Source organism: Homo sapiens, chromosome 2, assembly GCF_000001405.40.
Source record: "Homo sapiens chromosome 2, GRCh38.p14 Primary Assembly".
Taxonomy (NCBI): domain Eukaryota; kingdom Metazoa; phylum Chordata; class Mammalia; order Primates; family Hominidae; genus Homo; species Homo sapiens.
Genome location: NC_000002.12, coordinates 74,345,281 through 74,371,867, shown reverse-complemented (window position 1 = coordinate 74,371,867; position 26,587 = coordinate 74,345,281). Strand labels below are relative to the sequence as shown.

Here is a 26,587-nt window from a genome sequence, read left to right as displayed (position 1 = left end):
ACTGTGCTTTGATACTCTCTTTCTGCTTTTTCCCTTTTCTGTCTCCTTCCCTTGCCATATTCTCATATTCTGTTTCTGTTCCTCTTACTACCCCTATCCTCTGCTTTCTTTCTGGTCTGCCTCTACCCTTTCTGAATAGCCCACGCGCCCAGCCAGTACTGGGGTGGCTGGGGCCAGTAGCTCCCTGGGCCCCTCTGGCTCAGCGTCAGCAGGTGAGCTGAGCAGCAGTGAGCCCAGCACCCCGGCTCAGACTCCGCTGGCAGCACCCATCATCCCCACGCCGGTCCTCACCTCTCCTGGAGCAGTCCCCCCGCTTCCTTCCCCATCCAAGGTAAGGCCTGGGGTAGGGGTAAAGGAGAATCAAGACACCCAGAGGCTTGTGGCTACCCGCTGTGTCTTGAAAATTTCCTGGGGTTGGCAAAGACCTAGAACTTGGATCAGAAAGGGTGAGGACATAGCCTATGGATATCTTGCTACTGACTGAGCCATCCTTTCCTTTCTTGCCCTTATGCCATACTTTCCCCATATATACTGTGCTACGGTTTCCTCTCAGATGTTCTTATGCCACTGACTGTTGGCCACCCTGGGGCTGGGTGATGTTTGCACACTTTCTTGTGTTCTTTGCGCCAGCTCAGTGTTGGTGGAGAGGAGGAGTGGGCTGTGCACAGACCGTGAGGCCTCTCCTTTGCAGGAGGAGGAGGGACTAAGGGCTCAGGTGCGGGACCTGGAGGAGAAACTAGAGACCCTGAGACTGAAACGGGCAGAAGACAAAGCAAAGCTAAAAGAGCTGGAGAAACACAAAATCCAGCTGGAGCAGGTGCAGGAATGGAAGAGCAAAATGCAGGAGCAGCAGGCCGACCTGCAGCGGCGCCTCAAGGAGGCGAGAAAGGTTTGACTCTGGATGAAGGGGGTGGCTGGGGCAGCCTGAGACCTAAGGAAGCATGCTGGAAACTAGACTGGAGCTGGAGCCTGGAACATACTGTGAGAAAGGCCTGGGGCATCTCTGTGCTGGTACCCCCTCCCACCTCCACTTCTTCCTCAGGAAGCCAAGGAGGCGCTGGAGGCAAAGGAACGCTATATGGAGGAGATGGCTGATACTGCTGATGCCATTGAGATGGCCACTTTGGACAAGGAGATGGCTGAAGAGCGGGCTGAGTCCCTGCAGCAGGAGGTGGAGGCACTGAAGGAGCGGGTGGACGAGCTCACTACTGACTTAGAGATCCTCAAGGCTGAGATTGAAGAGAAGGGTAAGGGGCCCACAGCTGCTGGGGGCCAAACGGTCAGGTGAGAACCATGCCTGAAAGTGTTAATGATCTTCTCCAGGCTCAGATGGCGCTGCATCCAGTTATCAGCTCAAGCAGCTTGAGGAGCAGAATGCCCGCCTGAAGGATGCCCTGGTGAGGTAGGGTCTTCAGTGCTTGCCTCTGATGCTTACTCTTGTGTCTCCAAATGTGTTAGAGCACCCATCGCCAGAGACTCTGACACGTGCTTTCCTCCTTCTGCCTTCCTCACATCCCTGCAGGATGCGGGATCTTTCTTCCTCAGAGAAGCAGGAGCATGTGAAGCTCCAGAAGCTCATGGAAAAGAAGAACCAAGAGCTGGAAGTTGTGAGGCAACAGCGGGAGCGTCTGCAGGAGGAGCTAAGCCAGGCAGAGAGCACCATTGATGAGCTCAAGGAGCAGGTCTGGGGAGCCCAGCCCCTCACCCAGAATCCCCCACCTGACTCTCCTATCAGTTGATGCCTCCTCTTTCTAGGTACCTTCCAGCAGCCCTTCTCCCTATCCTCCCCGTAACACAGGTGGATGCTGCTCTGGGTGCTGAGGAGATGGTGGAGATGCTGACAGATCGGAACCTGAATCTGGAAGAGAAAGTGCGCGAGTTGAGGGAGACTGTGGGAGACTTGGTAAGAGAAGAGCAGACCCCTGACATCTGACTTGGACCTGCTGAGAAAAAGATTGACATGTGACCCTTGGCCTTTGAGCAGGGTGTGCGGTGAGGGACCCAGCCTGGGCTTGCTACCCTGACCCTGCCTTTTTTTTTTTTTTTTTTTTCTGAGATGGAATCTCGCTCTGTTGCCAGGCTGGAGCGCAGTGGCGCAATAATCTCGGCTCACTGCAACCTCCGCCTCCCAGGTTCAAGCGATTCTCCTGCCTCAGCCTCCCGAGTAGCTGGTACTACAGGCATGCGCCACCATACCCAGCTAATTTTTGTATTTTTAGTAGAGATGGGGTTTCACCATGTTGGCCAGCATGATCTCGATCTCGACCTCATGATCCGCCTGCTTTGACCTCCCAAAGTGCTGGGATTACAGGTGTGAACCACCGCCGCTGGCCGACCCTGCCTTTCTTTAGCCCAAACTATGGTGTGGTGTCCTAGGAAGCGATGAATGAGATGAACGATGAGCTGCAGGAGAATGCACGTGAGACAGAACTGGAGCTGCGGGAGCAGCTGGACATGGCAGGCGCGCGGGTTCGTGAGGCCCAGAAGCGTGTGGAGGCAGCCCAGGAGACGGTTGCAGACTACCAGCAGACCATCAAGAAGTACCGCCAGCTGACCGCCCATCTACAGGTACATGCCCACTGTTTGCTCTCTGCCCACCATCACCCCAGGGCTTCCTTATGACCCAGCTGTGCTTCACTGTCTCTCCTCCTAGGATGTGAATCGGGAACTGACAAACCAGCAGGAAGCATCTGTGGAGAGGCAACAGCAGCCACCTCCAGAGACCTTTGACTTCAAAATCAAGTTTGCTGAGACTAAGGCCCATGCCAAGGTCAGGAAAGTGTGTGGGTCTGAGGGAGCCCTGCCTGGGATGAACTGGTATGGGGTCTGGGCTTCAGATTCCTGGGGGAAGGGGTGCTTTGTGTGGTGGTTTGGAAGACTCTGGCCTGGGCTTGCCCTAGAAGCAAGGGATCTACTGGAGCAAGGCATGGGAATTTTGGGGCTCTTTCAGCTCTGGCTAAGAGTCCTCCTCCCTGTTCACCTCACAGGCAATTGAGATGGAATTGAGGCAGATGGAGGTGGCCCAGGCCAATCGACACATGTCCCTGCTGACAGCCTTCATGCCTGACAGCTTCCTTCGGCCAGGTGGGGACCATGACTGCGTTCTGGTGCTGTTGCTCATGCCTCGTCTCATTTGCAAGGTATGGCCAATCAATCACATGTTCCACAGAAATCTAGTGAACTTGCCATGAACCAGGCATTGAAGATGCTGAGTGAAGACAACAGAGTCTCTGCCCACAAAGAGTTTATGGTATAGTGGAGGAACACAGCAAAGTCACCGATTAATATATATTACAAATGGTGTGTTTTCAAGGAGAGATAGGTTCTGTGAGAGAGCACAATTAGAGATTTGATTTAGAGGTGAGCAGGGTGTGACTGAGGGAATAACATTGTCTGAGGGCCAGGAGGTGCCTAGGGGTTAACCTTGGGGATGATGGGCAGGATAGCATTCTAGGTGGAGAGATAGCAGGAGTGGCAGCTTTAAGTCAGGAAAGACCTTGATTCCACCGGTCCCACTACCCTTTCATTTTCACATCCTGACTCCTCACAACCTCCAGTAATCACATCACTACCCTTTCCCCATGCAAGATTCCCCACCCAGGTAAGAGCTATTTCTGCTTTCTCTCCCATGTGTGTCCATGCTCCCCACATAGTTAAGCTCTGAGTACTATATTCCTGAGTCTCTGTTCTCCATCCTCTGCTCTGAGGCCCAGGTTCCTGGTGCTTTTTCCCACAGGCAGAGCTGATCCGGAAGCAGGCCCAGGAGAAGTTTGAACTAAGTGAGAACTGTTCAGAGCGGCCTGGGCTGCGAGGAGCTGCTGGGGAGCAACTCAGCTTTGCTGCTGGACTGGTGTACTCGCTGAGCCTGCTGCAGGCCACGCTACACCGCTATGAGCAGTAAGTGACTCCTGACTCCCTCACCCCAGGGTGGGGGTCCAGGATTGGCCAGAACTGAGATTGCCTGGCAGACTCTAGCCTCACAGTGCCCTTCTCTGGTCTCTAGTGCCCTCTCTCAGTGCAGTGTGGATGTGTATAAGAAAGTGGGCAGCCTGTACCCTGAGATGAGTGCCCATGAGCGCTCCTTGGATTTCCTCATTGAACTGCTGCACAAGGATCAGCTGGATGAGACTGTCAATGTGGAGCCTCTCACCAAGGCCATCAAGTACTATCAGGTGTGGGGCAAGAATTTGGGCTTGGGGCAGGAGGCAGGGAAGCTTTCACTTGATGGGGGCTCTTACTAATATATTCAAGGTTGTATGTCCCATGCTTGCTGCTTGAGGCCTGGTTTGCTCTTAGATGAACTCTCCATATGATGCAGCTGCTTGAGGGCTTTGGATTCTCTTGTACCTCCAGAGACCCATGATGACCAGGGCTCAAACTACAGTTTGGGAAGAACTCCCCACCCGCTCCAGGGCCTAAAAGTTGTCTGTCTGTTATCTCTCCTCAGCATCTGTACAGCATCCACCTTGCCGAACAGCCTGAGGACTGTACTATGCAGCTGGCTGACCACATTAAGGTGAAGTATCTGGGCCAGTGATTGAGCCCCCGTGGAGATCAGAAATGGAGGGCATCAGGTCAAGAGATCAGGCACCCAAGAAGTGTCACATAAGACTAGGGCAGAGTTACCAAAGCCATATCAGGGAAACTAGAGGACCTACTTATGTATGGGGGTCAGCAGAGGATGGGGACTTCTTAGAGATGTTGATAAGGCAGAAGGGCTCCTGCTGGGGGCTGATGATTGCATGCTTCTATCCTCACAGTTCACGCAGAGTGCTCTGGACTGCATGAGTGTGGAGGTAGGACGGCTGCGTGCCTTCTTGCAGGTGAGAACACATCTAGATCTGTGTGAGCTCCTCTTCTTTCTTAGTCCTCACTTCCTTACTCCGAGCCTTAATGCTAACTTGGTTCTCCATCCATTTTCTTTTTCCTGAGTAGGGTGGGCAGGAGGCTACAGATATTGCCCTCCTGCTCCGGGATCTGGAAACTTCATGCAGTGACATCCGCCAGTTCTGCAAGAAGATCCGAAGGCGAATGCCAGGGACAGATGCTCCTGGGATCCCAGCTGCACTGGCCTTTGGACCACAGGTTTAAGGCTGCAACTGGGGAAGGGAAGGAAACTGAGTAGAAACATGAAGGGTATAGCACTTGAAGATCTGGATCTGGTTAGGGGACAAAAATGGTTTTGGGGTAGCTGGAAACTGTGGTGCTGAACCCAGGGTTGACTCCTGACTCTGGCCTGGCACACAGGTATCTGACACGCTCCTAGACTGCAGGAAACACTTGACGTGGGTCGTGGCTGTGCTGCAGGAGGTGGCAGCTGCTGCTGCCCAGCTCATTGCCCCACTGGCAGAGAATGAGGGGCTACTTGTGGCTGCTCTGGAGGAACTGGCTTTCAAAGCAAGCGAGCAGGTGGGCCTGGATGGCTGGGTAGAAGGTGTGGGGAGAGTTAGTGACCAGTGTGGGGCTTTTACTTCTGCCCTTGGCTCCTGCAGATCTATGGGACCCCCTCCAGCAGCCCCTATGAGTGTCTGCGCCAGTCATGCAACATCCTCATCAGTACCATGAACAAGCTGGCCACAGCCATGCAGGAGGGGGAGTATGATGCAGAGCGGCCCCCCAGCAAGGTAGGTGGAGATTTCCTTGGAGAAGTTGCAGAGGCCTGTAGGAGTAAGACTTGCAGAGCTACTGCTAGTTGTGGGAGGACGGGGAGACAGGAGGAAGGCATCTGGAGAGCACCATCCTGCCTAGAAGGCAGGGTTTTCCCTGTAACTGGATCTCTCTGTAAGGAGCACAGTGATGATCTCTTCTCTCCACCCTCACTTTCTCACCCCCTACCGACCATTCCTTAGCCTCCACCGGTTGAACTGCGGGCTGCTGCCCTTCGTGCAGAGATCACAGATGCTGAAGGCCTGGGTTTGAAGCTCGAAGATCGAGAGACAGTTATTAAGGAGTTGAAGAAGTCACTCAAGATTAAGGTGAGGGTAGTGTAGGCTCAGGATCTGGGGGCCAGGAAATTGGTAGGACTCAGGAAAGCAGTGAGTGTTGGGGATCGGGACCAAGACGGCTTGGGAGTTAAGGGGAGAAGTGGGGCCTGCAATCAATGGGAGCTGTGGTGAGCCCTCAGGGAACCTACTATCTCATGGTCTAGCCCCCAGTTTCCAGGGACTGTGGGGAGGATGTCAGGGATCTAGAAGTTCTGTCCTTGTCCAGGGAGAGGAGCTAAGTGAGGCCAATGTGCGGCTGAGCCTCCTGGAGAAGAAGTTGGACAGTGCTGCCAAGGATGCAGATGAGCGCATCGAGAAAGTCCAGACTCGGCTGGAGGAGACCCAGGCACTGCTGCGAAAGAAGGAGAAGTCAGGCACTTTCCCTGGGGCCTTGCTTCCTCTAATCCTCCCACTGCTGGAGCTCTCTGCCTCCTAACCCATACCCCTACTCAGGTTCTCTTATAGTGAGACTCCCCATTTTCTTTACCCACTGCCAACCCCATTGCATCACCCCAGCCTAAGCCTGTGCTGCTCTGCCCTGGCTTCTCACTGGCAGGGCTATTCCAAGGACCTCTCAGGACTGAATAGTCAAGGAGTGCTTTAGAGAAGGGACACTGCCAAAGCCCAGATTCTCTTTCACAGAGAGTTTGAGGAGACAATGGATGCACTCCAGGCTGACATCGACCAGCTGGAGGCAGAGAAGGCAGAACTAAAGCAGCGTCTGAACAGCCAGTCCAAACGCACGATTGAGGGACTCCGGGGCCCTCCTCCTTCAGGCATTGCTACTCTGGTCTCTGGCATTGCTGGTGGTGAGTACTGTGGAATAGGCAGCACTAGCACAGAGGAGATTGTCTTCTCTCCTGTCCTTGGCCTCATTTTGACCTCTGCCCCACCCCCCTTACCCCCGGGTATTCAGCCAGGAACATGCTTACACAGTTTCACTCTGTGCCAGTTTTCACCAAGTTTTCCCTTCCGCTGAAGATGTGTGCTGAGTTTCTCTGGGCAAAGGAGGGCATTACTAAATTGTTAATGAGGCTCAGAATAATGATGACAGTTGGTCTCTAGTAGATGTCCTTTCTGGCTCTGTAATCTGACCTTTCTGCCCAGCCCTATATCCCAGAGGGTTGTCAGCCAGCAGCAGGCTGGGCTGACTCTCCTGGGGCATCCAGCCCTGCCCGATACCTGCTCTTGATTGCTTCTCTGCTTGGACACTGTGTTTTCTCACTGAGTTCATGTGGCTTCATTTTATGATGTGGTCATATCTTCCACTGCTGAATTATCCCAGTTTCACTTGGGGCTTGTGTTTTGACCTTTGTCTAGTCACTCAGTATAGTCAGGGCTCCTCACCTAGAGTTTTTCTGGTTACCAGTTCTAGCCTCCCCAGTTACCTGACTCAGGAGGTGGCTGCTGCTGTCTTTGTTCTCCTCTGCCCTATAGTTTGTTTTGTTTACTCTCCAGTTTCTCACTTAACCTTCTCACCTCCAGAAGACAGGCTTTTTGCCCTGGAATTAAACCCTTAGGGCCTCCAGACTTTCCCAGCTGCTCCTGAGTCTTGTCAGCTGACCTCACCTACATAGAGTCTTTGACAAAGTCTCTGTTACTGACACCCCTTGATCTTGGGAGGTGACCAAGTACCTTCTTGACTTTAGGCTCTTGTGGTACAGACAGCTCTGTGTTCTTTGGAGAGAGTTTCCAGGATTACTACTTTGTGTTGTTTTTAGCACTCTTGAAACAAACATTAGCACTCTTTAAACAAACATAGTTCTGAATTTATGAAACTTCCCACCAAAAAAGAAGGTCTTTTGCCTCAGAGCAATGGGGAATCCTTAGGAGCAAGGGAGTGTGTTTGCATCCCCAACTTAAGCTTTGCTGCTGGTGAGCACTAAGGGTGCAGACATATTGGGGTCTCTGGAGCATTCTCCGTGCCCTTCTTGGAGATGGCATCTGAGACAGGGAGGCAGGAACAGCCTCATGTTCCAAGTACTTTGTACAGTGCACACTCTCTTTGCCACTGTTCTTCACACATTGTACCCTGTCTTGTGGCCTCACTCCTGTTTGGTGTCTTTCTTTAACACTTATCTGCTCGTCCCCAAAGATAGGTGGCAGAGAGTCTTGTTAGAGAAAGTATGATGATTAGGAAAAGGGTTTTCCTGCAGGTTGTGTCCAGGATTCCTCTGGTGTGTCCCCGTAACCCCCAAATCACCTAACTCCTCTCTCCTCTTTTCCTGCTCCCCCATGGGCTATCCCGAGCACAGAAGAACAGCAGCGAGGTAGAGACCCACTCTGGCCGGGGGTTACCAGGCTGGTGGGAGTTGGAGCTAAGGGAGCAGGGTGGAGGGGGAAGCCAGGACTGGAGATGGGTGATGGGGGGATGAGGAAAGGGGAAGAGTAGGAATGGAGCCCAATTTTCAACCCTTTCCACTTGGGGCTGATGAGATTTTTTATGGTCCCCACAGGAGCCATCCCTGGGCAGGCTCCAGGGTCTGTGCCAGGCCCAGGGCTGGTGAAGGACTCACCACTGCTGCTTCAGCAGATCTCTGCCATGAGGCTGCACATCTCCCAGCTCCAGCATGAGAACAGCATCCTCAAGGTGAGGGAGCCACGGGGAGGACTGGGATGGGAGATGGAGCATATTTGCCCCATTGATGATAGATGACAGGGGCCTCCTAGCACCTCTTACCACTATCCTTCTTTTTTCATCCACAGGGAGCCCAGATGAAGGCATCCTTGGCATCCCTGCCCCCTCTGCATGTTGCAAAGCTATCCCATGAGGGCCCTGGCAGTGAGTTACCAGCTGGAGCGCTGTATCGTAAGACCAGCCAGCTGCTGGAGACATTGAATCAATTGAGCACACACACGCACGTAGTAGACATCACTCGCACCAGCCCTGGTATGTACCTGCCAACCCCCAAGATGAATAAAACTGCCCCCTCCACTTGGCCCAGGGATTTAGCCCCTGCTCAGGTGGTTCCCCCACCACAGAAGCTCTTCCCAGCAGTGTTCTTTGGCTTCACTGTTCAGTTTGTTTGATTCACCCACTCTCTCTCAAGTACTTGTTCTGTTAGAGAGTCTTATACCTGCACCCCTAACCCTTAATCCAGTAGAACTGCCTGCCTGCGCCTTGGTGGGCCTCACCAGCTTTCTCTCCCCACAGCTGCCAAGAGCCCGTCGGCCCAACTTATGGAGCAAGTGGCTCAGCTTAAGTCCCTGAGTGACACCGTCGAGAAGCTCAAGGTCAGCTCAGTTTGCCAGGCAGAGCTCACTTCACAGCATAAACTGGTGGAGCCAGGCACTTGTGGAGTTCCTCTGAGCCCAGCCCTGTGCTAGACAGCAATTGGGGAGGAGATGGAAGGGAAGGCAGGGTTCTTGCCTTGGAAGCTCACTGTCTCAGTGCAAACAGAAGACAGATTCTCATAACAAAATGGATAAGCTAGGGTAATCTTTAGAGTGACTGGTTCAGGCTTTAGCTTCCATCAGCGCTGAGATCATTGTGGGGTAGAACGGTTGGGCATGGCTTCCCAAGAGCGGTAGAATGTGAGTTGGGCCTTACAGGATGAGGACTTGCAAAGTAAGGAGGAGTGCTGGTGTGGGGATGGGGTTGGAGATGAGAGCAAAAGTATGTTGATATAGAGGACTAAGTCCCTGCCCCCCTGGTATTAGTGTCTCTGTGAAACCACGTGGTCTTGTGCTAGCCTGTGGGGGTCCCATAAATGAACCCTTGTCTTCCTCTCCCCTTCCCTAGGATGAGGTCCTCAAGGAGACAGTATCTCAGCGCCCTGGAGCCACAGTACCCACTGACTTTGCCACCTTCCCTTCATCAGCCTTCCTCAGGGTGAGGGGGAGCATGGGGTGGAGGATGGGACAGTGTGGAGAGCTCAGGCGGGCCCCCCTCTCCTCCAGAATTGGAGGAGGCCTTTGGAGTCTCAGGTCTAACAACTGCATACCTTGGGTTATCTGGCCAAATTTTACTTACAAGTAACTCAGAAGTGCTTACAGTGCTTTGAAATTCCAATATTTTAGCACCTAAACACCTTCCGTGACTTTTGACACCAGGAGGGCCTCAAAACTCCCTTGTCAGATTATGTATCCCCATTCTTATTTGAAAAATGTGGTCACAATAGCCCAGGATCTCAGAAGCCCTAGTCACCCAGGAGCTGCCTTGGTCTCAGTGCTCAGGGACCCCTTCAGTGGCCCACAGCTCAAGTGAGCCCCTGACCTGGAGTCTTTTTCTCCTCATCAACCACCAGGCCAAGGAGGAGCAGCAGGATGACACAGTCTACATGGGCAAAGTGACCTTCTCATGTGCGGCTGGTTTTGGACAGCGACACCGGCTGGTGCTGACCCAGGAGCAGCTGCACCAGCTTCACAGTCGCCTCATCTCCTAAGCACTCCTTTCCCCTGCTGTCCCCTTCGACCCTCAGCCCTCTGGTGCCGCTCTGCCCGATGCACAGCCACCTCAGCCAGCCCCCAGGTAGAAACGTGGGTTAAGCTCTTCCTGCCCCGTTCAGCTTCACTCCCACCCTTTCAGCGTCCTGCCCCTTCACCTTGACCCGGGTTCCCCCACTCCCATTCCCTGGCCTCTGCCATAATTTGTTGTTCAACTGCTCCCTCCTTCCTGAGGGGCCTCAGGGCTTGTGGGGGGTAGGCTGAGACCCCACCACCAAAGGTTAAGTGAGGTCCCCTTGATTGAGGACTTCACCCCTTGATTAAAGCAACTTCTGCTTCAGTGCTTCCTGTGTGGTGTTGAGAGTGGGACTTGGGCCATTAAGCTCACAGCAGGAGTGGAGGAGAAGCGATGCTGAGGAAGCTTTGGCTGTATCAAATTTGAGGTCTCCTCTTCGTAGTGACCAGAAGAATGCTGTTTCTAAAATTCATGTGCAGTAAGTTACTCTAACCAAGGAGGAAAGGGCTAGACTTAGGACTAGGTACCTAAGTTCATTTATGGAGTCAGGAGGGCTGGGAGGGTGTAGCCTCTGCCAACCCTGCCTCTGCTTCCTGTAGCTTCCACTGCTCTTTAGTCCAATTTTTGGAGCTGGAGTAATGATATGATCACCACCCCAGCCAATTTTCTGATGTACTGGCCAGTCTTCCCATAAGACCTGGGGTCTCTCAGAGGGAATATTTACTAAATAAGGGAAAACTAAAGTGGCATACTAGTAAAGGATAGGAGGTACAAAAGCTACTCCCAAACCCCACCATAAATTAGTATCACCTGGGGAGTTTCTTTTAAAATGTAACAGATTTCTGGTCTTGACCCAGACCTACTGAAAATACTTGCAGAGTTGGGACTCATTAGGCTGGTAAACAGCACCCCAGCATTGTAGATATTAGCCCCAGTTTAGATTAGTTGGCTAGCTCCTTTATATTCTCTTTTTTTCCCTCTTGGGGAGAGAAGTCCAGTTCAGACTCCCAAAAGGCTCTGATCTAGATGCAGAAAGAGACCCTTGACCCTGCAGAGTGCTAGGCCTAAACTAGGCCAGACCCTCTGCTCTTCTGCTTTCTGTCTTGAGGGGAAGGGCAGACAGGAGGAGGGGTGCTTGAAGTTGGGCGTCCAGGGGCCATATTCTCAATGACTATACTGTCTGGGAGGTCAGTGGGTTATGGCGTTTGAATGCCTGCTCTGTACCTTGGCTCTTCTCACCTGGGATTCCGAGAGAAAATGATTTGATGACTTTTCTTCAATACTCTCAATGATGGTACACAACCAGTGTCATTCCAGATGCATAGGATGTAATGCATTACATATGAGGGATTAATTCTCACAGAACTGGTTGAGAAGGGTTATTATTGTGTCTTGAACCAGAGAGTCTTCACCTCACGTCTCCAAATTGGGCTCTGCTAGGGCAAGGAAATCACAGACCACACTGTCCTTTCCTTGGGATTGGATTCTACCCAAGCTGCTGACCTGCCTTCTGATTGGTGTGGTTAAGACACCGAGGCCAAGCAACTTCTGGTGGCACTTTGAAAGGAGAATGGGGCTTTTTGTTCCATCCTTTTCCCTTGGTGGCAGTTTCTCACTACTTAAACTGCTGCTCTCTTGAATGCCGAATTCATTCACCCAATTATTTGTTGGCTATCACCCTGTGAGTGCCCCACAGGTATCTTAAGAGTCAGCATGTCCAAAACTGAAATCATCTCTTCTGTGTCCTACATGTGACAAGCCACAAACCTGGATATCCTTGACTCCTTCTTTGATCTCTTTAGCTAATTTAGTTATCCAGTCCTGTTCAGTTTGTCCTTCATTACTGTCTCTCAAATTTTTCCACTTTTTTTACATCCACGAACTTTGTCTATAAATAACTTCTTGCTCTGGGCACTTCAGCAGTTTTTAAACTGGTTACCCTACCTCCATTGCCTTTCTTCAACCAGTTCTACACATCGATATGAGGGACCTTTCCAAAATGCATACTGGGCCATGTCACTCCCCAGTTTAAATCCTGAAATGATTTCTTCAACTAGATTTAAAATTTACATAAGATCCTGAAATGGTTCCTCTATGTGTCTAGATTTTAAAATTTAAACTCACTAGAATGGCACATGAGACCATCAATGATTTGGGTCCTGTCCGCCTCTCCAGCCTCTCCCGATGTGCCAGGTGGTTCAGCTTTAGTGAACCCCTGCAGTTTGCTTGCCACCCGGTGCTCTCTTAGGCCTCTTCCCACCACCCAGAATGCCATCTACCTCCTTCCCTCCACTCTACCTCCCTGCCCTCGCCCCATCCCCATTCCTCAGCTGACATCCTGTCCATTTATTAAGATAGCTCTGGCAATGCCATCTCAGGAAATTTCCAATCCCTATGGCCTGTTAGGTGCTCCTCTTCTTGAGGCAGCAAAAGATACCGACCTTTTTTCCAGGTGTGCTTGGATTTAGTTGCTTTGTGACTTTGGCAAGGTTTCTAATCTCTGATCTGTTTTCTTACCTGCAGAATGGAAAAATGATATCTTACAGGGTTGTTATGAAGGTCAAATGAGATAGTGCATGCAAGCATCAAGCACTGTGCTGGCACACAGTAGCCTTGCTTCTCTTCTCCAGTATGTGCTCCTACTACGCTACTTTATGCCAGTAAGCATCTGTTTCTATTTTAAGTGTTAGTTAACTCCTCTCCCACTTCAGACAGGAGTTCCTTTAGGGTGTCTTCCATCTCTGCATCCTGCCAAATACAAGTAAAGGGCACGTATTTGAGGAGGAGGAAGATGACTTTTATTTTGGACATGAGTTTGAGGTGCTTGTGAGAATGTACAAGCAGAGATGTCCCTTTGGCAGTTGGAACCTGCTGGGTCTGGAGCTCAGCAGGGATGTCCAGATTGAAGATAGGAAAAGTTTGGGGAGTGAGTTGGGAGTGTATCAATGGTGGTTGAAGGCATGGTTTGGGTGAGGTTACTGTCTGTATTCAAGTTACTAAGAAAACCGAATCTGAGGCAAAGCTAGTGTTAGCACTTTATTGGAGGGTGAAGTCTCAGAGCAGCGAGAGTGAGGGAAAGGAGGAAAAGAAAATCAAAGGTTGGTGTTAGTGAGTTGGCTCCTGCCTCACAAAGACAGCTAGTCACTTGCCCATGTTGGATGTCTCTGGATAGACTACACAGAAACACCATGACTGGCTAGAACATTGTATTTGGATTGATGGAGGGGAAATTCACCTGTTCTGCTTCCTGCCCATGCTTTACTGCTCAAAGTTTGCCATGGAGCCAGTGTTAGCTCCCCACTTTCTTGCTGGGATGATATTTCTTGGCCACTGCGAAAGCCAGATCCCATGCCTTGCGGCATGGCATTTAATCTAAGTCCTGCAATGGCAAGGGGAACAGAATGTGGTCACCGGCCTGTGGGAGTTAGTCAGCACAGAGCAAGCAGCTGGAGACGTGGGAGTCAGGTGAGGCTGAGAGAATCTGAAGCAGCAAGTTACCTCAGGAGAGTATTCAGAGGGAAGGGAAGGTAGAGCCCTGGGAAGCCCTGAGAGTTAAAGAGCCTGCAGCCTGAAGGGGCATCCACTGCAAGCATAGGGCCCCTGTAGAAAGCATTGTCACAGAGCCAAGGGAGGAGAGAGATTGAGCAGCTCAGAGGGCAATCAAGTTCTGGGAAGTGGCCATTGTGATTCAGAGATGCCTGATGAGCTGGCCAGGGCAGTCTCCATGGAATAGAGGAAACAAACTGGGTTGTGGTGGCAAGAAAGGGGAGACAGCAGCTCATGCTCACTGTGTGTCCTGGGTAGCATCCATTCATGGGGATTGTGGAGAATGGATAGCCAGGCAGATGACCAGGGGAATGATTTCTGGAAACTGGGGATGTGATGGTGGGGGAGAGGCCTGGCGAGGTGCTCTGTGTACCAAGGATGGAGTATAGCATAGTAACAGCCACCTTTGATTCATCCAAAGCCAGAAATGCCAGTGTGACAAAACCAAGCAGACCGGCAGTTGGCAGGGGCAGGGTATGAACATTCTCAACTCTGTTCCCTAGGAGCTTCTCTCTTTTGGTGGGTTTTGGGCAGTTTCCTAGGGTTAACGTTACCTGCCCCAGCATGGAGGCAGCTTTGTGAAATAAGAATAGGGCTTATATTCCATCTCTTCCGCTATTGAGCTGTCTGAACGTGGGGAAGGTGCTTAACCTTTCAGCTTCAGTTTCTGTATTTGTAATAGGCCAATAGCACCTTCCTCAGGTGATATTCTTAGGTAATCTTCAGGGAGAAAATTAAATAACATAGCATGCTTGATACAGGTATTTAAAAAAGGATACCTGGAAGAGGCTGATACTAAACAAATGAAAAGGAAACAAAATAGAAGCACATTCCCAAGATGTACACTGTGACACACATAACCATCTTTTGAGCCCCAAAGGATTGGTAGCCCTGGCCAGGCGCGGTGGCTCACGCCTGTAATCCCAGCATTTTGGGAGGCTGAGGTGGGCGGATCACGAGGTCAAGAGATCGAGACCATCCTGGCCAACATGGTGAAACCCCATCTCTACTAAAATACAAAAATTAGCTGGGTGTTGTGGCGCGTGCCTGTAGTCCCAGCTACTCGGGAGGCTGAGGCAGGAGAATCACTTGAACCCCAGGAGGCGGAGGTTGCAGTGAGCTGAGATCACGCCACTGCACTCCAGCCTGGCGACTGAGTGAGACTCCGTCTCAAAAAAAAAAAAAAAAGAAGAAGAAGGATAGGTAGCCCTTAGTGCCCCAGCTTTCAGCTTGTTTCTGTGGGCAGCTACTGTCTTATTTTCTACCATCCAGGCACTGTTTTCTCCTCCTTTTAGCAGGCCAAGGCTGAGAGAGAGAGTCTAAATGTGGTGGCACGTCCCTCACCCCACTCCCACAATTTGCATTCACCTGTTTGGTTCACATTTTCAGTGCTCTGCCTCAGTGGGGAGCAGGGGTGGGGCAACACAAAGACCCAAATAGGCTGCTGGGTAATCCTAGGGAATGTACAAGGATGTACAAGGCCCCAGAGCTGAGTCTACCCTACACAGCCATGAGGCAAAAAGTGAATTAGGAACAAGTATGCTCTATAGCCCAGGTACTCTGGAAGTTTTATAGCACAGGTGACCTTGGCCCCTGTCAAGTATAGGCCCAGGGCACCTGGAGAACACTTAAGTCTGAGGGTGAGTGGTCCCTCCTGCTTCTCTGTGGTTATTGTTTCATGTAGCCAGCTTTTCTATGTGTATGGGTAGCATGACCATTCATCTAGCCTCCCTCCATCTCTATCATCCGTGCCACCCGAAACAGGTATTGCTACTCCCAGGGACAGAGGTCCTCAGAGGGGCAGCCTGGGACGTTTGGCCTACATTCCTTTTCCGAAGGCTGGGGAGTTTGGATGTGGGAATTGGACTCTTGCTCAAATAACGGGTACCAGTGTAAATAGATGTCTCTCACCCTCTGTTTTGTTACTTTTTATTATGGAAAATTTTAACATACAAATGAGAGGAGAGTGTAATGACTTACACATACAATATATGTTCATTTCATGGTTCATCTTGTTTCGTCTATATCCCCTTTCCTCCCCCTTCTTCTCCCAGAATGTTTTGAAGCAAATCTCAGACATCTTATCACCTTATTATTTCATCCAAAAGTATTTTAGTATCCCTGAAAGATACAGCTCTTCAAAAAAGAAAACTACAATACCATTATCACACCTGAAAAGTTAATTCATCAGCTATCCAGCATTCAAGTTACCTTGGTTGTCTTATAAACATTTTGTTTTGTTTTACAGTATGTTTATTTGGATGAGATTTAAGACAAAGACAATACACTACAAATAGATGTCTTTTGAGTCTGCTTCCCCCTATTTTCTAATTATTTTACTAATACAGTGTTTGCTTTATATACGTTCTTCTTATTCAAATACATAACATTATCACCTTGATAATGCAAATAACACAATATGGAGGAAGATTGAGAACATAGGCTCCCAGTACTTAGTCACTGGGATTATAGAGATTTTCCTTTTAGTATTTTCTATCAAAATTTAAAGATGTCCTGCCATGGCTGTGCAAGAATAGAACTGTCTGGAATGGGAGTGCAATGAAAAAAAAAATGGATTCAAAGTTAGGAAAAGATGAAAAGATGTAAGTCAAGAAGAGAGAATATATTTTGAAACTAAATAGAATTTCCTGGCCAGGCGTCGTGGCTCATGCCTGTAATCCCAACCCTTTGGGAGGCCGAGGTGGGTGGATCACGAGGTCAGGAGTTTGAGACCAGCCCGACCAACATGGTGAAACCCTGTCTCTACTAAAAATACAAAAATTAGCTGGGCGCGGTGGCGTACGCCTGTAATCTCAGTTACTCAGGAGGCTGAGGCAGGAGAATCACTTGAACCCGGAAGGTGGAGGTTGCAGTGAGTCGAGATCGCACCACTGCACTCCAGCCTGGGTGACAAAGCGAGACTCCATCTCAAAAAAAAAATAAAAATAAAAAAAATAAAATTTCTTCATTCAGAGTGTAAGCATGCAAACAGGTGCTAAGGAGAGAAGTTGTATCATCTTATTTCTTCCTCAGATTGCCCTTAACAAACCAAATAGGTAATGCCCATTGACCTAGAAAAGGGAGCTCTCTTCAAGCAATGTATAAGAAAAAGCAGGGCAGAGGGAAAGTAGTGAGAGGGTCACTTGCTTTGAGGTACTCTAGGTCAGGGGTCCCCAGTCCCTGGCTATGGACTAGTACTGGGTGCATGGCCTGTTAGGAACTTGGCCGCACAGCAGGAGGTGAGCAACGGGCAAGGGAGCATTACCGCCTGAGCTCTGCCTCCTGTCAGATCAGCAGCAGCATTAGATTCTCATAGAAGTGTGAACCCTATTGTGAACTGCAATGCAAGGGATCTTGTGGGCTCCTTATGAGGATCTAACTAATACCTGGTGGTCTGAGGTAGAACAGTTTCGTTTCAAAACCATCCTCCCCCTCCTCCCCATTCCATGGGAAAATTGTCTTCCATGATCAGTCCCTGGTGCCAAAAAGGTTGGGGACCACTGCTCTAGGTGATGGATATCAAAGCCTTCACTTTGGGAAACCTGTCAAATGGCTGAAGCTGTGACTCTCCATCATTACAAATGATGAAAGATGTAGCAGATTTTTACTGAGGTGCTAATGGATTGAAAAAACGTGTCTATTAAATGTGGCCAGACAGATACCCAGGCAGCAAGTCAACATGGATACTGAATGAGAGTTAAGTGCTTGCAACCTCTCTGCTCCACAAATCAGGTTAAATTCTAAACTTTTTTATTTTAGATTTAATAATGGGGCAAATACAAAGCAAAGCCTTCCATCAGTTGCAGCAGCTGGATGGAGAAAAAAAACACTTCTAGAATATAACTTAGAACATCCCCTTGAACTTCCTTCATCTAAGCCATACCCACTGGCTGAAGATGTTGCACTTTTTGACAAACAAAAGAATGGAGGTGCTACCAACACCTTTGTATCATAGGAAGAGACATGTAAACACACGAGGGTAGTGGAGCTGCACTCAGCACTGGATGTGGTGAAGAAGGGTATATAAGAGATATTTCTCCATACCCATCAAAATTTTGGATCTATAAACACTGAAGGCAAGTGTATCCATTTTCAGAGAATTGGTTTAATGGAGTAGGAAGTAGCAAGGGTTTTTTTGTTTTGTTTTGTGTTTTTGTCCCCTGAAATTGCTAAATAGGACTTCACAAAGGGTACATGAGAGCCATGAGATGACTGAAGTAAGTTATGGAATTTAAAAGGTGGAGAAAAATTTTACAATGTTAGGGGTCATTTCCTCATAGCCGCAGGTATGGTAAGACCCATTAGTTCCTGGCTTGTTAGTGAGCAGGAGATGGCAGACACTCTTGGCTGCACAGCAAGTAACTGCAAAGGGGAATGACATAAACCAGCTTGAATATAATGGGGAAGCTAAGAAAAAGGTTGTTTAGTAATTGTAGTTCTGGGAAGGGAAGGAGTTTCTAGCCTCTTAAAGATTCCTGCTCCCAAGGTCATTTTATTTCTGTTTAGTTTTTCAGAAATTATTCCTGGTATCAATAGGTTAAGAAAGTAGAATTTTCCCAAGTACTGGCCAGGCGCGGTGGCTCACGCCTGTAATCCCAGCCCTTTGGGAGCCCGAGGCAGACAGATCACGAGGTCAGGAGATTGAGACCATCCTGGCTAACGCGGTGAAACCTTGTCTCTACTAACAATACAAAAAAATTAGCCCGACATGGTGGCGGGTGCCTGTCAGTCCCAGCTACTCGGGAGGCGGAGGCAGGAGAATGGCGTGAACCTGGGAGGTAGAGCTTGCAGTGAGCCGAGATCGCGCCACTGCGCTCCAGCCTGGACGAAAGGGCGAGACCCTGTCTCAAAAAAAAAAAAAAAAAGTAGAATTTTCCCAAGTACTGATTTATAGATAATGTTTATAAGTGGCACACAAAACTTTCTGTTTCACAAACAGTAGCATTGATTGATCCCTTTAAATGCAAGTTCAATCCTTATAAGCTAAGTGCAGTGATGATTTTATGTAACATAGCTAAATGCACACAAAATCTGTATATTCTGAACTACAAAAGTGGTTTCCATAGCCACATATGGTTTTAGATAAGGATTCATTTTCATAATGAATAGTACTAACAAATACGTTAATAAAACAATACTTGTTTGTTTAACACCAAATACTTGTTCTGTCACCAACTTTTAAAGCAACACCATTCCAACTACTACTAAAAGCATTTTTAGAAGCTTTGATCTGTGAAAACAAATTCTCCAAAAACTTGACAAATAGTATGGATAAACCTCAAAGCTTTTAAATTTAAAAAGCCTTCCAAAGGCTGGGCACAATAGCTCACGCCTGTAATCCCAGCACTTTGGGAGACCAAGGCAGGCAGCTCACTTGAGTCAATGAGTTTGAGACAAGACCAACCTGGGCAACATGGCGAAACCCCATCTCTACAAAAGAATACAAAAAGTAGTTGGGTGTGGTGGGATGTTCCTGTAGTCCCAGCTACTTGAGAGGCCGAGGCTGGAGAATTGCTTGAGCCCAGGTGGCGGAGGTTGCAGTGAGCTGAGATCCCACCACTGCACTCCAGTCTGGGTGACAGAATGAGACTCTTTCAAAAAATAAATAAAAATAAAAAGTCTTCCAGGCCAGGTGTGGTGGCTCACGCCTGTAATCCCAGCACTTTGGGAGGCTGAGGTGGGTGGATCACAAGATCAGGAGATCGAAACCATCCTGGCTAACACGGTGAAACCCCATCTCTACTAAAAAGACAAAAAATAAGCTGGGTGTGGTGGCGGGCGCCTGTAGTCCCAGCTACTTCAGAGGCTGAGGCAGAAGAATGGCATGAACCTGGGAGGTGGAGCTTGCAGCGAGCCAAGATCGCACCACTGCACTCCAGACTGGGTGACAGAGCGAGACTCTGTCTCAGAAAAAAAAAAAAAAAAAAGGAAAAGCCTTCCAACACTGAAGCCTTCACATGAAACTTAGTTTCTCCAAAAAATCACTTGCTATCTGAAAAAAAGGATATTAAAACAAATTACCTTTTAATACAAACATTCTTAAAAGAGACTTTTCCTATATCTACTTAAGAGAAACATAAAACAGCTCACTATCTTTAATAATTTGTCTGATACTGTCTAGAAACTAAAGAATACATGACAGAGCTGTGTCTCAGCTATGGTGAGTCAAAGGTCCTATCTGGATTTCACATATTAAACAGCTGTAGTGTAGCTTACAGCGGCACAAACACTCAACAAAAATATTGTGTTGTTTCATCATTTAGGTAGTAAAAAGAAGGAACTGCACAGTTTGCAAGGTCCTTTACATGTGGTCATTAAAACTGAATAATTCAAGTATGGTAATATAAATACAGGCGTTAAAGTCTCATTCTAAAATTGAAAATATGAAAACTTTGTTTCTTCATCTTTCATTTACATGGTTAGATATCGGGACCTTACTGTAGAAATATTTAGTTACTATATATGGTTGTCCCAGAAAATAATGGAGCTTCAGAACGTACAAAAGGTGTCAAAATCATAGTTGACTCTGTCAGATGCTTTTCTAGCTCATTTCAATTATTCATTCATAGTAACCAAGTCTTTTAACTCTAGCAAACTTTCTTGGGTCCTTTCTAATTAAGAAGACAGTATCATCAACTTGTACTTGATCTGATCTTCTAACTGGCGTTGGAAGTTCATAATTTCATTGATGAACTCTATAAAAAGATCTTCAGGAATATCCATTGGCTCAGTGTAAGGGTTCTGATAATCCCCAAACCCATATATCAGACATCATAATTCTTTAGGAAACAGTCTTTCTTTTACAAGATCTGCTCTTTGCTCCTTCTTCATTTTCTTCCTCAGAGACGTGATTTTCTACCCCATTTTCTCAAGGTCATTTTTGTTGTTCAAGTCTGTCCTTGATGTCTTGCCAGTACTATTCAGATCTGGAGTCAGTTGGATGGCTCTGATGCCAGGTTTGGGACAGAATGGTTATAAAGTCTCTCCAAGTCGTTGCTCACAGAGACTGCAGCTGGTGCTGGTGTCATGACAGGAGCAGAAGAATCACAGCCTAAAAGGATATCTGCATCACTCCCTCCATGGTTAGAATTGGAACAGCTGGTGAGGCAACATCCTTGGAGGATGGAGGGGAAGAGTAACTTGCTTCCAGATGGGGTTGGGAGTAAATTGAGGCCTCCAGTCCAGTCTCTTGCAGTCCTGAGCTTAGAAACATCTCCTCCTCCTCCTCATTATCATCATCATCATCATCATCTCTTTCTCTCTTTTAGAGAAGGGCCTCGCTGTGTTGCCAAGGCTGGAGTACAGTGGCCATTCACAGGCATGGTTATAGCACACTACAGTCCCCAACTTCTGGGCTCAAGTGGTCCTCCTGCCTCAGCCCTCAGCTGGGACTACAGGTGCGTGCCACTGCACCTGGCTGAAGCTCATCATTCCTTGGTTGTAATGTTCCCATTACTCAACTTGATGGTCTGTCTTTCCTTAAAGCCCAGATCCAACCTGGGATGAGTGTTCATTTCAAGAGATCCTTTGGCCATCTCAGATACCTGTTTTATCCATTTAAGGTGCTTTTTCAGAAGTTATCAAAGTCAAAGGCATCACCCTCATCTGTGAAGCCAATGCCGATGAAAGCACTATACCTGCTCAGTGTCATCCTAGAACCACATTACAAAGTAGAAGCTGTAATCTTTCACTGTCTCAGCAGTGTCAGCGTATTGTTCTACTGGTGCCCGAGCAAAGAGCTCTCCTGATATTTTATACTTGAGTTGACATAGGCAGTCTTCCCTTTTGAAGACTAAGCAGGCTGGTCCACATTCCAGCCTGTAGCCATTGTTGGAGGCCTGGGGCAGAATCTAGTAGACATTGACACCAGCTAAGATAGGCTTGTACCGTGCCTTGGGCTGCCATCTTGGCTCTCTGCCCTTTGTGACCTCCAGATGACGTTGGGAGTAAATTGAGGCCTCCAGTCCAGTCTCTTGCTTAGAAACATCTCCTCCTCCTTCTCATCATCATCTCTTTCTCTCTTTCAGAGAAGGGCTTTGCTATGTTGCCAAGGCTGGAATGCAGTGGCCATTCACAGGCAGTCTAGGTTCGTTCTTGCTTGATTTTTCCTTATAATTTATTTGTTGAAAGAACTATTTCTCAGAATCTGGATTTTCTTAAAATGCATCCTCATGGTGTTAATAAGTTCCTCTGTCTTCTCCATTTTCTGTAAATTATTAGTTGGGTTTAGAGCAGTGATTTTCTGACTAACAGCATCAGCATCATCTGGGAATTGTAGGAAATGGTAATTCCTACTCATCCCAGAGAAGCTGGCCATAAAAGTCACCATCTTGGTGAGACCTAGCATCTCAATTCTGTGAAGTCACCCATTGAAAGAGATCAAAACAATTGGAGTGGAGAGGGGTGAAATATTGGATGAGGTAGTGGTTGGTCTCTTGATGGTATGGCATGCCTGTTATTTCTATGTTTTCATTTCATATCAATCAAAAATTGGGGTTTTTGCATAACAGATGGAATGCAAAAAAGAAAAAAAAAGGAGTGTTGAACTTATGGTTAAACAGTTAACTTAGCTGATTTAATGTACTTTAAAGACTACGTTATTACTAATGGTTTAGTGTTCCCTGCCCTTGACAGAGACACAAGGAGAAAAGTGTTCACTCTCCCTGAGTGCTTAGACTACTATTTGACCCTTTCTAGAAGACAAGGGAATTCAGATAGGGCAGACTGTCCTCCCTCAGAGATTGGAGTTTTAGTTACCTACATATTTGACAGCCAAAGACACTTGATTTGGAAAGATCCTTGGCTGGGCCCTCTAGCTGCAGCCATGGCTAGTTAAGTTTCCACAGAGAGTACAAGCCAGGCTTGCCTTGCCAGAAGAGACCCTTCTGATCTTTGTAGAAAAGATCAGCCCAGGACTGGCCATCTGGCAGGTAATCAGGACCTACTCAAACAATTGAGCAAGGAACAATAGGTGGAACTGAACCCTCATGAACTCATGGAGTAAACTCTAAGCCTCAGTGAACAAAATCTGAGATAAATCACTTGTAACTCATCTTGGTATTCCTTTGTAAAAAGCAAAAAGCAAAGGATAGACTATGCATTTGACAACATAGAACTGAAAACCTAGATATATATTTAAATTTAAAAAAATGTAAACACACATTTTAAGAAGTGAATTTTTAAAAACGCAAAAAGAAACACTTAGATTAACAAATGATAAAACATGACCACACCATTTTACAAAATTTTTATACTTTTTTTTTTTTGAGACAGAATCTCGCACTGTCGCCTAGGCTGGAGTGCAATGACGCAATCTCGGCTCACTGCAACCTCCGCCTCCCAGGTTCAGGTGATTCTCCTGCCTCAGCCTCCCAAGTAGCTGGGTTACAGGCTCACAACCACCACCCCCGGCTAATTTTTTGTATTTTTAGTAGAGATGGGGTTTCACTATGTTGGCCAGACTGATCTTGAACTCCTGACCTTGTGATCCACCCGCCTTGGCCTCCCAAAGTGCTGGGATTACAGGCGTGAGCCACTGCACCTGTCCAGTTTTTATACATATTAACATAGTGATATTGGAAATTCATTTTTCAGTGGAAAAAAAATGCTCTCTATTTTGGAAAGTAGGTAGTTGGGCTCCTGTTTTAAATGAAGACATGTTATCTGAAAAATTAACATGCTGTGTAAGTTCAGTGAGGAGGCAAGGGGAGTGAAGAAGGGTGAAGAGACCAGAACATACCCATTCCACTACCAGTGGACATTTGGGTTGCTTCCGAGTTCAGGTACCTCCAAACCATGCTATATAAATATCCTCCCTTGTTCATGTGCTTTGGCACGCATATGCAAAAGTTTCTGTAAGGAGTTAAATTGCTTCGTCATTCCTTATGAGTATTTTCATCTTTATTAAATATTGCCACATTGTTTTTGCAGAGTGGCTGTACTGGTTTACAGCCTCATCAGCAGGATAGGTCCCCTTGGCGGGATTCCAGTCTGCCCCTTTGGGGAGGAGGGTGTAGCAGGGAGAGAAATAAGGCTGGCAAGGAATGAGAAAGCCAGGCAGGAGAACACCATTAGTGCCAATCCAAGGAGTTCAGACTGTATTTGACTGCATTGGGAAGCTACTGGCAATTCTGGAACAGGGAACAAAATGCAAAAACAGGGTTTTGGGAAGGTTAGTCTTTAAAGCTGTCTCTTGGTTTGTGTTGGCAGTTGGTAGTGATAGTGGTGGGGTTGACTTAGGCCAGCAGCAGGACTCAAGCTCACAGGAGAGAGATCTGTAGGGTGACAGCACAAAGGGGACAGTGAGCACATCCCTGGGGGCAGAAAACCAGAGCATCCCAGATCTCCCAACTCTTATCCTTAAATAATCCAGTTAGACACACACACTGCTAGTAGGTGTGTGAAGTGCTACAGCCACTCTGGAAAACAATGTGGCCGTATTTAACAAAGATAAATATGCACATACTGAATGGCCCACAAGTTGTAAAATATACCAAGCAAAACAAACAGGAAAAAAAAAAGAGGAAAGAATTGTCAATAACACCAGATGTAATAGAGAGGTCTATCAAGCAAAGATCTGAAAAGTGTCCACTGTCTAATTGTCCACTTGGCAATTAGAAGTTTGATGATGAGCTTTGCCACAGAAATGTCTGTGACCAGTAAGGAGCAGAAATCAGAACACAGTGGTTTGAGGGATGAGTGAGTGGTAAGAAAGGGAAACTGGGCACGGGGCCTACTATCAGGTTGGTTGGCTGAGAACAGACTCAAGCACATAGAAACATCAGTATGTGATCAAGCAGGATGGGTCCCCTCGGCTGGATTTCAGTCTGCCCCTTTGGGAAGGAGGGTGTAGGATGGTGGGTACAGGGTACATAATTTTACAAATGGTGATTTAACACTTGGGAAAAACAAGTTAAATCCTCATATTACACCATATACCAAAGTCCAGATGGATTGAATATTTAAATATACAAAGCAATACCGGAAAAGAACTAGAAGAAAATTTAGAACATACAGATTTTCTATATAAAGAAAATTTATTTTGTATATAAAGTTGGGGATGGCTAAAACTTTTCTAAGATTGACAACAAAACTAGAAACCTTAAAGAATAATATGGATAAATTTGACTTTATTAAAATACACACACACACACATCGTATTAAACCTTCCTGTAAGAAAAAGAAAAAGACTGCAAACAAAATTGAATGACAAATGACAAACAGAAAAATATCTATAATTGGGAGGCCGAGGCGGGAGGATTTCTTGAGCCTAGGAGTTTGAGGTTTTAGTGAGCTGTGATCGCGCCACTGCGTTCCAGCCTGGGTGACAGAGCAAGACCCTTTCTCTAAAAACAAAGAAAAAGAAAAATATTTATAACATAAATAAGTAACTTTTACAAATAAATAGGAAAAAGAAGCTGGGAGTGGTGGCTCATGCCTGTAATTCCAGCACTTTGGGAGGCTGAGGCAGGTGGATCACTTGAGGCCAGAAGTTTGAGACCAGCCTGGCCAACATGGCGAAACCCCATCTCTATTAAAAATACAAAAATTAGCCTGACATGGTGGCGCATGCCTGTAATCCCAGCTACCTGGGAGGCTGAGGCATGAGAATCACTTGAACCTGAGAGGCAGAGGTTACAGTGAGCTGAGATGGTGGCCAGTGCACTCCAGCCTGGGTGATAGAGTGAGACTCCATCTCAAAAATAAATAAATAAATAAATAAATAGAAAAAAGAAACACATCAATAGAAACATAGATATGAATAGGAAATTCACAAAAAATACACTTACCAAGTTAAATCAACCTTAAGTAAAAAATTCGTTCAAGATTGTAAAGTGAACTGTTAACATTTACTTCTCTTTCCTCCCTAAGTCCAACTGGAACTACATTTTTTAAATGAAAAAAAGTAAAGTATGCAACCTCATGAGAGAACTTGAAAAAAAAAAAGTAAAAAGGAAAAATATCCAAAGCAAAAAAAAAAAAAAAAAAAAAGCATTCCAAAGCAGTGCTGGAATACGAGGAGGGGTTTACAGTATACTTCTTTGGACCTGACGCCTAGCACTTTTCCCTTCTGAGAGAAAATCTGCCATCCCCACTTTAGTCGCCTGGTTCATGTGGGAAACTGAGGCTTAGAGACAGCAGAGCTGGGGAGTGGCAGCAGGATATTGTGGCAGGTGGTGGCAGTCGGGGACTTCAGGCTGTGGTCTCACACCGCCACACTGCCTTTCCCTTTTCTCACAGAGAACATTCAAATGGCTGTCTTTCTCTGGCAAGGTAGAAAGCCTCTCAAATAAGTAAGGAACATGCTTTGGTTAACAGCTAACGAGGCATTAGGTCTGGACAGGGAGACAAGCAGTGCAGCAGCCAAATCCCAGTGGACACTAGACACGAGGAAGAAAGCACGGTGCTGCCAGGGCAGGTCCTCCTCCCTCCTTCCTCCTTCCTCCATTAGGAGGATTCCTGAGCCTGCAAACCTGTTCCCTTTGTGCATCCTGGAGGGACAGCCCCTGCCCCATACCTTCCAATACCCTCACCAAACCAGATGAAGCTCACCCTCAAATTCCTGTGTGAAGTGAGAGACAAAAAAACCCCAAACCTGAAGTGTCTGAAATAAATGTCCAAATTATTTGAACAAAACCTGGGTAGGTAGAAACCA

At 47.5% G+C, this 26,587-nt stretch overlaps 1 protein-coding gene and 2 pseudogenes across 9 annotated transcripts in view; 1 reads left to right on the top strand and 2 right to left on the bottom strand.

The window, feature by feature from the left end:
- The window catches only part of DCTN1 (dynactin subunit 1), a 30,712-nt gene extending 19,999 nt beyond the window's left edge, over positions 1-10,713 (top strand). For 5 of the 9 annotated variants that reach the window (NM_001378992.1, NM_001378991.1, NM_001190837.2 and 2 more), the window contains 25 exons: positions 140-331; positions 692-889; positions 1,043-1,247; positions 1,324-1,402; positions 1,523-1,682; positions 1,799-1,903; positions 2,377-2,568; positions 2,654-2,770; positions 2,988-3,140; positions 3,737-3,897; positions 4,004-4,172; positions 4,448-4,516; positions 4,761-4,823; positions 4,936-5,085; positions 5,248-5,409; positions 5,493-5,624; positions 5,850-5,975; positions 6,211-6,353; positions 6,627-6,793; positions 8,240-8,254; positions 8,441-8,574; positions 8,691-8,874; positions 9,139-9,218; positions 9,727-9,816; positions 10,232-10,713. In NM_001378992.1, the coding sequence (NP_001365921.1) occupies positions 140-331; positions 692-889; positions 1,043-1,247; positions 1,324-1,402; positions 1,523-1,682; positions 1,799-1,903; positions 2,377-2,568; positions 2,654-2,770; positions 2,988-3,140; positions 3,737-3,897; positions 4,004-4,172; positions 4,448-4,516; positions 4,761-4,823; positions 4,936-5,085; positions 5,248-5,409; positions 5,493-5,624; positions 5,850-5,975; positions 6,211-6,353; positions 6,627-6,793; positions 8,240-8,254; positions 8,441-8,574; positions 8,691-8,874; positions 9,139-9,218; positions 9,727-9,816; positions 10,232-10,369 (3,384 nt within the window). In that variant the 3' untranslated portion in view covers positions 10,370-10,713. Of the gene's footprint in view, positions 1-139; positions 332-691; positions 890-1,042; positions 1,248-1,323; positions 1,403-1,522; positions 1,683-1,798; positions 1,904-2,376; positions 2,569-2,653; positions 2,771-2,987; positions 3,141-3,736; positions 3,898-4,003; positions 4,173-4,447; positions 4,517-4,760; positions 4,824-4,935; positions 5,086-5,247; positions 5,625-5,849; positions 5,976-6,210; positions 6,354-6,626; positions 6,794-8,239; positions 8,255-8,440; positions 8,575-8,690; positions 8,875-9,138; positions 9,219-9,726; positions 9,817-10,231 lie in introns of all 9 variants that reach the window. The other 4 variants (NM_001190836.2, NM_001135040.3, NM_001135041.3 and 1 more) reach the window with 2 other exon arrangements.
- On the bottom strand, positions 20,449-20,782 carry TAF13P2 (TATA-box binding protein associated factor 13 pseudogene 2; annotated as a pseudogene).
- On the bottom strand, positions 20,859-21,799 carry NECAP1P2 (NECAP endocytosis associated 1 pseudogene 2; annotated as a pseudogene).